A 12,331-nucleotide genomic window follows, 5' to 3' on the forward strand; every position below is an offset into this window, starting at 1 on the left:
CTAGTGGTGGCCACAGGCGTGCTAGTATTAATCCACACCCAGCTTCAGGTGGCTCAAAACAAAGACAGAAACTCCATTTGCTTGGGAGAAAGTAAGGGAAGAGAACAAGACTCTCTGCCTGGTAATCCATAGAACTCACCTGCATCTTGTCCAAGACCATCAAGGTGGCACCTCAAGAGTCTGAAAGAATCAGTGTTACTAGGCTTGGGGTTTCCCCTAAAGCAGATATAGCTTATATCACAACACCCAAGTTCTTTCCAATATCCAGAAAGCCTTCTCAAGAAGGATGGAAACAAACAAGTCCAGACTGTGAAGACTAAAATAAACACCTAACCCTTCATTGCCCAGACACAGACAAATATGTACAAGTATTGACCATCCAGAAAAACATGGCCTCACCAAATTAAATAAATAAGGCATCAGAGACCAGTTATCAACAGAGATATGTGACCTTTCACACAGATAATTTAAAATAGCTGTTTTGAGAAAACTCAAATTCAAGATAACACAGAGAAGGAATTCAGAATTCTATCAGATAAAATGAAAAAAGAGATTGAAATAATTAAAAATAAACAAGCAGAAGTTCTGGAGCTGAAAAAATGCATTTGGTGTAATGAAGAAGCATCAGAGTCTTTTATTAGCAGAACTGAGCAGAAGAAGAAACCCTTAAAGATAAGCTATTTGAAAATACACAGTCTGAGGAGACAAAAGCAAAGAAGAATTAAAAAAAAATAAAGCATGCCTTCAGGATCTAGAAAATAGCTTCAAAATAGCAAATCTAAGAGTTATTGGCCTTAAAGAGGAGGTAGAAAAGAGAGGGGAGTAGAAAGTTTATTCAAAGGGATAACAACAGATGCCTTCCCAAACCTACAGACAGATATCATTATCTAAGTACAAGAAGGTTATATAACACCAAGCAGACTTAACCCAAAGAAGACTACCTCAACACATTTAATAATCAAACTCCTAAAAATAAAGGATAAAGAATCCTAAAAGCAGCAAGAGAAAAGGAACGAATAACACACAATAAAGCTCCAATACATCTATCAGTAGACATTGAAGTGGAAACCTTACAGGCCAGTTGAGAGTGGCAAGACATATTTAAAGTGCGGAAGGAAAAAGACTTTTATCCTAAAAAGCATATCCAGCAAAGAACACAAATGAGAAATACTTTCCCAGACAAACAAAATCTGAGGGATTTCATCATCACCTGATCTGTCCTAAAGGAATGCTAAAGGGAATACTTTGATCAGAAAGAGAAGGATGTTAATGAGCAATAAGTAATCACCTGAATGTACAAAAATCACTGGTAACAGTAGGTACTCAGAAAAACAGAATATTATAACCCTGTAACTGTGGTGTGTAAACTACTACCCTAAGTAGAAAGACTAAATGATGAACCAATAAAAAACAATAACTACAACAAATTTTCCAGACATGGACAGTATCATAAGATATAAATGGGAATAACAAAAAGTTAAAAAGTTGAGGGATGAAGTTAGGGCATACAGTTTTTATTGGTTTTCTTTTTGCTTGTTTATGCAAACAGGATTTAATTTTTATCAGCTTAAAATAGTGGTTTGTAAGATAGTATTTGCAAGCCTCTTTGTAACCTCAAACCAAAGAACATACAGTGAATACACAGAAAATAAAAAGCAGGAAACTAAATTATATTACTGGAGAAAATCACCTTTACTAATGGGAATACGAGAAGGAAAGCAAGAAGGGAGGGGGGACCACAAAACAATCAGAAAACCAATAACAAGTGGCAATAGTAAGTTCTTATCAATAATAATATTGAATGTAAATGGACTAAACTTTCCAATCAAAAGATATAGAATGGTTGACTTCATTAAAAAAACAAGATCATTGATCTGTTCTCTACAAGAAACACACCTCATCTATAAAAAACATACATAAACTGAAAGTAAATGGATGGAAGAAGATATTCCATGCCAATGGAAGCCAAAAAAGAGTTGGAGCAGCTATACTTTTATCAGATAAAATAGATTTTAAGACAAAAACTATAAGAAGATACAAAGAAGGTCACTATATAATGATAAAGGGGTCAATTCAGCAAGAGGATATAACAAATTTTAGTATATATGCACTCAACATGGGAGTACTCAGATATATAAAGCAAATATTATTAGAGCTAAAGAGAGACTCCAATACAGTAATATCTGAAGACTTCAACACCCTACTTTCAGCCCTGGACAGACCTTTGAGACAGAAAATCAAAGAAACATTGGACTCTATCTGTACTGTAAACCAAATGGTTCTAATAGATATTTACAGAACATTTCATCTAACAACTGCAGGATACACAGGTTTTTCCTCAGCCTAGGGATCATTCTTAAGGATAGACCATATGTTAGGTCACAGAATAATTTTTAAAATACTTTTAAAAACCCTGAGTAATATCAACCATGTTCTCTGACCAGCACAGAATAAAACTAGAAATCAGTAACAAGAAGAATGTTTGAAACTATGCAAATACAAGGAAATTAAATAATATGTTTCTGAATGACCTGTGGGTTAATAAAGAAATTAAGAAGGAAATTGAAAATTTTCTTGAAACAAACGACAATAGAAACACAACATTTCACCAATTACGGGATACAGCAAAAGCAGTACTCAGAGGGAAGTATATAGCTATAAATACTTACATCAAAAAAATTAGAAAAACTTCAAATAAAGAACCAGAAATGCATCCTCAACAACTAGAAAGCAAGCAGGAAAACAAACCCCAAAACAGTGGAATAAAGGAAATAATAAAGATCAGAGCAGAAATAAATGAAATTGAAATGAAGAAAACAATACAAAAATCACTGAAACAAAAAGTTGTTATTTTAAAGTTAAACAAAACTTACAAACTTTTAGCTAGACTAAATAAAAAAGAAAAAAATCCAAATAAAATCAGAGATGAAAAAAGAGACATTACAACTGATACTGCAGAAATTCAAAGGATGATTTGTGGCTACTATGAGCAACTATATGCCAATAATTTGGAAAATCTAGAAGAAATGGACAAATTCCTACACAGATATGACCTGCCCAGAGTGAACCATGAAGAAATTAAAAACCCAAACAGGCCAGTAACAAGTAACAAGATCAAAGACGTTATAAAAAGTCTCTTAGGAAAGAAAAGCTCAGCAACTAATGGCTTCACTGCTGAATTCTACCAAACACTTAAAGAGTAACTAATACCAATCCTACTCAAACTGCTCCAAAAAATAGAGGAGGAGGGATTACTTCCTAACTCATTCTACAAAGCCACTATTACCCTGATATCAAAACTAGACAAAGACACATTAAAAAAAATACAGGCCAATATCTCATGAATATTGATATAAATATCCTCAACAAAATACTAGCAAACCAAATTCAACGGTATGTGGAAAACATCATCATCACGATCAAGTGGGATTTGTCACTGGGATGCAAGAATAGTTCAACATATGCAAATCAATCAATATGATACCTCATATCAACAGAATGAAGGACAAAAACCAAATGATCCTTTGAATTGATGCTGAAAAAGCATTTGAAAAGTTAAACATTCCTCCATGATAAAACCCTTCAAACTAGGTACAGAACATAATAACATAATAAAAACCATGTGAAATAGACACACAGCTAGTACCATATTAAATGGGGAAAAACAAAAAGGCTTTACTCTAAGATCTGGGACATGATAAGGAACATGAAATAACACTTTCACCAATGTTATTTAACATAGTACTGGAAGTCCTAGCTAAAGCAATCAGACAAGTGAAAAATAAAGTGCATTCATATTGGGAAGGAAGAAATTAAGTTATCCATGTTTGCAGATATGATATTATATTTGAATAAACCTAAAGACTCCACCAAAAACTATTAGAATTGATTAACAAATTCAGCAAAGTAGGACAAAAAAATCAGTAGCATTTTTATATGCCAACTGTGAACAAGGTGAAAAAGAAAAAAAAAATCCTATTCACAACAGCCTCACCTAAAACTAAATACCTATGAATCAACCAAAGAAGTGAAAAATATCTATAATGAAAACTCTAAAATATTGATGAAAGAAATAGAAGAAAATTTCAAAAAATTGAAAGACATTCCATGCTCATGGATTAGATGAGTCAATATTATTAATTTTGTCCATACTCCCCAAAGCAATCTACAGATTCAATGCAATCCCTTTCAAAATACCAAAGATGTTCTTCAAAAAAGTAGAAAAAACAATTCTAAAATTCATATGAAATCACAAAGACTCAGAATAAACAAAGCTATTCTGAGCAAAAATAACAAAACTGGAGCAATCACATTACCTGACTTCAAATTATACTATGGAGTTGTAGTAACCAAACAGCATGGTACTGGCAACAAAACAGAACAAAAAAAAATCAAAAAGAGAGACACACAGGTGAATAGAATAGAGAACCCAGAAACAAATCCACACACCTACAGTAAACTTGTTTTCCATGAATGTGCCAATAACATGCACTGAGGAAAAGACAATGTCTTCAATAAATGGTGCTGGGAAAACTGGATACCCATATGCAGAAGAACAAAACTGGAACCCTATCTCTTGAAATATACAAAAATCAAATAAAAATTGATTAAAGACTTAAATCTAAGACCTAAAACTGTGAAACTACTGCAAGAAAACATTGGAGAAACTTCAGGACATTGGTCTGGGCAAAAATTTCTTGAGTAATACCCCACAAGCACAGGCAACCAATGCAAAAATGCACAAATGGGATCATATCAAGTTAAAAAACTTCTGTATAGCAAAGAAAACAACTGGCAAAGTGAAGAGGTAACCAACAGAGTGGCAGAAAATATTTGCAAACTACCCATCTGTATCAGTTCATTTTTGCATTGCTATAAAGAAATACCTAAGAATGGATGATTTACAAAGAAAAGAGATTTAATTGGCTCACAGTTCCACAGGATGTACAGAAAGCATGATGTTGGCTATCTGCTCAGCTTCTGGGGAAGCCTCAGGAAACTTACAATCATGGTAGAATGTGAAGGGGAAGCAAGCAAAGTGTTACATGGCTGGAGTAGGAGAGAGGGGGAGATGCCACACACTTTTAAACAATTAGATTTCATGAGAACCCCATTACAAGCTTTATTGGGATGGTGCTAAACCTTTAGAAACTGCCCCCATGGTCTGATCACCTCCCACCAGTCTCCACCTCCAGCACTGAGGATTACATTTCAACATGAGTGAGGACACAGATCAAAACCATACCACTCTGCTCCCAAGTCTCATGTTCATCTCACATTTAAAAATACAATCTTGCCTTCCCAACAGTTCCCCAAAGTCTTAACTCATTTCAGCATTAACTCAAAAGTCCACAGTCCAAAATCTCATCTGAGATAAGGCAAGTTCCTTTTGCCTATGAGCCTGTAAAATAATAATAATAATAACTACTTAGTTACTTTGAAGATACAATGAGGATACAGGCATTGAATAAATACTTGCATTTCAAAAGGAAAAAATTGACCAAAAGAAAAAGGCTACAGGCCCCATGCAAGTCCGAAACCCAGCAGGACAGTCATTAAATCTTAAAGCTCTGAAATAATCTCCTTTCACTCCCTGTTTTACATTTAGGCCACACTGATAAAAAGGGTGGGCTCACGAGGCCTTCAGCGTCTCTGCCCTGTGGCTTCTCTCAAGGGCTGGCTTTGAGTGCCTTCAGCTTTCCCAGGTGCACAGGGCAAGCTGTCCATGGATCTATCATTCCAGATTTTGTAGGACCATGGCCTTCTTCTCCCAGCTCCACTAAGCAGTGCCCCAGTGGGGGCTCTGTTGAAGCTCCAACCACACATTTTCCCACCGCACTTCCCTAGTAGAGGTTCTCTGTGAGCGCTCCACTCCTGCAGCAGGCTTCTGCATGGACATCCAGGATTTTCCATACATTCTTTGAAACCTAGGAGGCTCCCAGATCTCAACTCTTGCATTCTGCATACCCACAGGCTTAACACCACATGGAAGCCACCCCTCTGAAGGCAGCAGCCCAAGTTTTACCTAGCCTTTTTGAGCCACGGCTAGAGCTGGTCCATCTGGGATGCAGGAAGCTGTGTCCCAAGGCTGCATGAGACAGCACAGCCCTGGGCCTGACACAAAAGATCATGCTTCTCTCATACGCCTCTGGACCTGTGATTGGAGAGTCTACCTCAAAGGTCTCTGAAATGCCTTGAAGGCCTTTTCCCCATTGTCTTGACTATTAGTAATTGTTTCCTCTTTACTTATGCAAATTTCTGCAGCATACTTATATTCCTCCCCTGAAAATGGGCTTTTCTTTTCTACCACATGGACAGGAGAAAATTTTTCAAAATTTTATGGTTTGCTTTGTCTTTATAAGTTTCAGTTTTACATTATTTCCTTGCTTACACATGTGAGCATAGGCTGTTAAAAAACACCCAGGCCACATCTTAAACACTTTGTGCTTAGAAATTTCTTCCACCAGATTCCCTAAATCATGACTCTCAAGTTCAAAGTTCCACAGATCCCTAGAGTGGGGGCACAGGGCTGCCAGGTTTTTACTAACACATAACAAAAGTTACCTTTGCTCCAGTTCCCAATAATTTCCTTATTTTGAAACAACTAAAAGAATAAAAGTGGATTGTTTGTAATACAAAAGATAAATGCTTGAGGGGATGGATATTCTATTCTCCATGAGCTAATTATTAGGCATTGCCTGCCTGTATCAAAACATCTCATGTAATATATATGAATTTATTGATTTTTGTGGGTATTCGATTCTCTTTTTGCTTGAATGGATTCTGACAAGTCAGATATAATTCTTATTTTTGTTACTCCAAAGGTAAAATTTTTTTCCTTTAGCCTTCTTTAAAAAATGTTTTTCTTTATCTTTCATTTTCTGTAATTTGAAAGGGGTATAATGATAGGCCTAGGTGTAGTTGGTCTTTTTAGGTGGAGAGGCATTTATTTATTCTGCTTGGGGTTTTTTTTCTTTTTCAATGGAGTTTTGTTTTTGTAGCCCAGCCTGGAGTGCAGTGGCTTGATCTCGGCTCACTGTAACCTCTGCCCCCCAGGTTCAAGCAATTCTCCCACCTCAGCCTCACAAGTAGCTGGGATTACAGGCAACTGCCACCACGTCCAGCTAATTTTTGTATTTTTAGTAGAGACAGGGTTTTGCCATCTTGGCTAGGCTGGTCTCAAACTCCTGACCTCAGGTGATCCACCGCCTCATCCTCCCAAAGTGCTGGATTACAGGCGTGAGCCACTATGCCTGGCCTGCTTGGTGTTCTTGAGCTGTTTTGATCTATGTTTTGGAAAATGTTATTAATTTGAAAAAATTATCAGTCGTTGTTTTGATGTTTGTTTCTCTCTTTTTCTTCTGCTATTCCCCTTCACGTATGTTGCATTTTTCATAGATGTCCCAAAGTACTTTGATATCCTGAGGTTTTTCTTTTTTTTTTTTTTTTTTTTTTGCTTTTTAGTTTAGGTAGTATCTATTGGTATTTCATCAAGCTCAGATTTTTTTCCTCAGTTATATCCAGTCTACTGATAAGCCCATTTCTGTTATTGTGTTTTTGATCTCTAGTATTTCTTTTTGTTTCTTAGAATTTCCATCTCTATTCTTGTCTTTTTTTATTTCTTTTTCTGGAGAACGGGGTCTTGCTATATTGCCCAGGCAGGTCTCGAACTCCTGGGCTCAAGCTATCCTCCCACCTCTTGCCTCCCTGAGAGCTGGGATTACAGGCGTGAGCCACCGTGCCTGGCATAGAATTTCCATCTCTATTCTTATATTGCTCATCTTTTCTTGCATGCTGCCTACTTTATCCTTTAGAACCCTTAGCATATTAATAATAATTGTTCTAACTTCCCTGTCTGATAATTCCAACCTCCCTGCCATATTGAGTTCTGATGCTTGCTCTCTTTATACTGTGGTTTTTGCCTTTAGTATACCTTGTACTTTTTTCTTAATAGCTGGACATGATGTACTGGGTACCAGAAATAGCGGTAAATAGGCCATTAATAATTTGGTAGGTGTGAGGGGAAGAAATATTTTATAATCCTATGATTAGGTCTCAGTTTTTTTTCATAGGCCTATGACTCTGGACTAACTTCACAAGTGTTTCTCCGATTTGTTTCTCCCCTTTTAGATGAAACAGGACGGCTAGAGTGAGCTGGAATTGGGTACTTACTTTCCCCAAGGTCAGTTAGGTTCTGATAAAATGCTAGCAAGTTAGGCCCCTCTTTCTTTCTTTCTTTTTTTTTTTTTTGTGAGCAACATGGCTGTTTATTTCACCTGGGTGCAGGCGGGCCAAGTCCGAAAAGAGAGTCAGTGAAGGGAGATAAGGGTGGGCCGTTTTATAGGATTTGGGTAGGTAAAGGAAAATTACAGTCAAAGGGGGTTTGTTCTCTGGCGGGCAGGAGTGGGGGTCGCAAGGTGCTCAGTGGGGGAGCTTTTTGAGCCAGGATGAGCTAGGAAAAGGACTTTCACAAGGTAATGTCGTTACTTAAGGCAAGGACCGGCCATTTACACTTCTTTTGTGGTGGAATGTCATCAGTTAAGGTGGGGCAGGGCATATGCACTTCTTTTGTGATTCTTCAGTTACTTCAGGCCATCTGGGTGTATACGTGCAAGTCACAGGGGATGCGATGGCTTGGCTTGGGCTCAGAGGCCTGACATTCCTGACTTTTTATATTAATGAGAAAAATAAAATAGTGTTGAAGTGTTGAAGTGTTGGGGCGGCGAAAATTTTTGGGGGGTGGTATGGAGAGAGAATGGGCGATGTTTCTCAGGGCTGCTTCAGGCGGGATTAGGGGCGGCGTGGGAACCTAGAGTGGGAGAGATTAAGCTGAAGGGAGGTCTTGTGGTAAGGGGTGATATTGTGGGGATGTTAGAAGAAACATTTGCCGTATAGAATGATTGGTGACGGCCCGGATACGGTTTTGTATGAATTGAAAAACCAAATGGAATAACAGAAGGAGAAAAACAGGTATAAAAGGTCTAAGAATTGGGACAACTCAGGATATCTGATTAGAGAGTGCCTAAGGAGATTCAGCATAGTCCTGCCAGCAAAGATTATTTATTTACTTCAAGAGTTAAGAGTGGCAGTTTGGGGATAGCACCAGGAGATATCAGCTGTGATGGCTTGGAAAAACAGTGTAAACCGGCAGTGTAAACAAGAGCAGGGCATGTATGAGTAGTTGAGAACGGTGAATAGGAGTATGACTAGACAGAAGATAGTAGGGATGACAAGTTTTTTTGGGGGCACAGTCTAAGTTGGTCTGGTGTCTGGAATGAGACTGGGGCCTAATAAAAAGGAGCATCTATATAGGAGCTTAAATGGGCTGTACCTTGTAGCATTCTGAGGACAGGTCTGACTTCTGAGAAGGGAAAGTGGTAAAAGTATTGTCCAGTCCTTTTTAAGTTGGTGGCTGAGCTTGGTGAGGTGTGTTTTTAAAAGACCTTTAGTCTATTCTACTTTTCTTGAAGACGGAGGACCATAAGGCATATAAAGGTTTCACTGAATACTAAGAGCCTGAAAAACTGCTTGGCTGATTTGACTAATAAAGGCTGGTCTGTTATCAGACTGTATTGAGGTGGGAAGGCTAAACTGAGGACTTAAGTCTCACAGAAGGGAAGAAATGACTGCAGTGGCCTTCTCAGACCCTTTAGGAAAGGACTCTACCTATCCAGTGAAAGTATCTACCTAGACTAAGAGGTATTTCAGTTATCTGACTCGGGGCATGTTGAGTAAAACTAATTTGCCAGCAAGTTAGGCCCCTCTTAGCAAAGTCTGCCCTTAGGAGAAACTTTTTAAGAATAGAGTACGCTGACATGTTTAAAAATAGTTCCTTTTCTCCTCCTCCTGCTGGAAGCATGAGGGTTTTCTTTTCTCTCCCATCTTTAGTGTGGGAATATGATCAAGCTCCAATGGTAAAACTAACAAAAGCATGAGGGCCTTGCATGACTGAGTTTCCCTGGAGTTTTTAACTTTGAGATTTATTCACACCTAGCCTCCAGCAATTTGTCAGTTCAGGTTTCTCTATCCCAGTGCTGGTTCTCACAAGGATTACTGCTTCAATGTGTTGTAATTCTCTGTATCTGCCTGCCTGTCTGTCCAATCTGGAGGAGGAGGGCATTCATTTTCCCTATTGCCTCATTTCTGTTACTGATGTAAGAAGTGATTTTGAGTTTTTTTTTTTAGTTTGTTTAACTTTTTACTTGTTAAGATGAAGTGATGACTTGTAAGCTCCTTACATGTGGAACCAGAAACCAGGAGAGAGATATCAAGTTTTAAACTGAACAAAACAGGTATATGCTTATCATTTTTATTTTTTACTATGAGAATCCTTTCCATTTTAATTTGCACTTAATTCATTCATTTAACTAATATTCATTAGCATATAATAGTGTAGAACTTTACATTGTGAAATAAATGATTTCTACTCTCAGGGTACTTACACTTTGGTGGGAAGACACATAAACCTGTAAATCAGAAATTTTAAAATAGTGTGCTAAAGGATTTTTGTCCAAAGACGTGTAATTATAAAAGTATGAAAATAAGATACAATTATTCTTGCAATAAAATACATTAAATTATGATAGAAATGTGTAATTAAAATAGAAATGAATGCATATTTATAAAATAGTATGATAAAGGCTTTGACAGTATTTGACACATAGTTATGTACATTTAGTTAAAAGCTAACTACATCTTACTGGGAAATCACTGCGAGAACTTCTTATTGGAGGTGAATATTGAGCTGCTTTTCAAAGGATTAGTAGGCTTTAGTAGACAAAGTAGGGGTGGAACAGTCCAGCAAGAAGATTCTGTGTGCCTGAATGCTCAAAGGTATGCTTTGCCTGCTGTATTCAAGGAGCCACAGGTAGTTCTCTCTGTAAACATGAGAGAGAGATATGAAGCTGCAGAGGCTGTATAGGACATGAAGATGAAAATTGAACTTGGCCTTGGAAGCTTTGGAGGCTAATTGCAGAAATTTAAAACAGGTTACAGTTGGGTTTTCCAAAGAGCATTCTGGCAGAGACAAGCTCTTTTTAAGGCTGTGTCAACCACCAGGCAAGAGCTTGAACTAAGGTTGTAGCTGTCAGAAAGGGCAAAAGAAGAGGGCTCCAAGATGTTTATAAGTATAGATTCTTTGTGAGGGAGGAGTGCATCCTCTGTCTTGGGTGGCTGATAAATGCTGTTGTCATTTCCTAAGTTGGAGAAAACATCAAGACTGTGTTGGGACTCAGAAAGTACTACAAATTAAGGCCTCTGAAGCAAAAGCTTTTCTGTGACTTGTATGGTTTGGCTGTGTCTCCACCCAAATCTCATCCTGAATTGTAGTTCTCATAATCCCTAAGTGCTGTGGGAGGGACTTGGTGGGAAGGGATTCGCTTGTGGGGGCAGCTCCCCCATGCTGTTCTTGTGATAGCGAGTGGATTCTCACGAGATCTGATGGTTTTATAAGGCGATTTTCCCCCTTCACTCAGAACTTCTCCTTCCTGCTGCCATGTGAAGAAGACATGTTTGCTTACCCTTCTGCCATGATTGTATGTTTCCTGAGGCCTCCTCAGCCCTGCTGACCTGTGAGTTAGTTAAATCTCTTTCTTTTAAAAATTACCCAGTCTCAGGCAGTTCTTTATAGCAGCATGTGAATGGACTAATATACTACATTGGTACCAGAAGTGGATTGCTGTTATAAAGGTAGCTGAAAATGTGGAAGCAACTTTGGAACTGGGTAACAGGCAGAGGTTGGAACAGTTTGGGGGACTCAGAAGAAATGTGGGAAAGTTTGGAACTCCCTGGAGACTTGTTGAATGGTTTTGATGAAGATGCTGAGAGTGATCTAGACAATGAAGTCCAGGCTGAGGTGGTCTCAGATGGAGATGAGAAACTTTTTGGGAATTGGAATAAAGGTGACTCTTGCTATGCTTTAGCAAAGAGATTGCTGGCATTTTTCCCCTGCCCTAGAGATCTGTGGAACTTTGAACTTGGGAAAGATTATTTAGGGTATCAGGTAGAAGAAATTTCTTTTCTTTTTTTTTTTAATTCTTTTTTTTTTTTTTTTTACTTTTTTATTTATTTTTATTTTATTTATTTTATTTTATTTTATTTTATTTTATTTTATTATTATACTTTAAGTTTTAGGGTACATGTGCACATTGTGCAGGTTAGTTACATATGTATACATGTGCCATGCTGGTGCGCTGCACCCACTAACTCATCATCTAGCATTAGGTATATCTCCCAATGCTATCCCTCCCCCCTCCCCCCACCCCACAACAGTCCCCAGAGTGTGATATTCCCCTTCCTGTGTCCATGTGATCTCATTGTTCAATTCCCACCT

The 12,331-nt window shown here is 37.9% G+C and overlaps 1 protein-coding gene across 5 annotated transcripts in view, besides 1 other annotated feature; it reads left to right on the forward strand.

Moving 5' to 3' along the window:
- Positions 1-12,331, forward strand: part of GALNT13 (polypeptide N-acetylgalactosaminyltransferase 13) — a 1,388,282-nt gene that overhangs the window by 457,998 nt on the left and 917,953 nt on the right. The window lies entirely within an intron of this gene.
- Positions 8,388-8,991: an enhancer, noted in NCBI's record as "OCT4-NANOG-H3K27ac hESC enhancer chr2:154391191-154391794 (GRCh37/hg19 assembly coordinates)". NCBI's record gives its function as "activates a minimal SCP1, AML or CMV promoter by ChIP-STARR-seq in naive and primed H9 embryonic stem cells {active_cell/tissue: H9 hESC(naive and primed)}" and the evidence as "EXISTENCE:reporter gene assay evidence [ECO:0000049][PMID:30033119]".

This window comes from Homo sapiens, chromosome 2 (genome assembly GCF_000001405.40).
Source record: "Homo sapiens chromosome 2, GRCh38.p14 Primary Assembly".
Classification (NCBI taxonomy): Eukaryota; Metazoa; Chordata; class Mammalia; order Primates; family Hominidae; genus Homo; species Homo sapiens.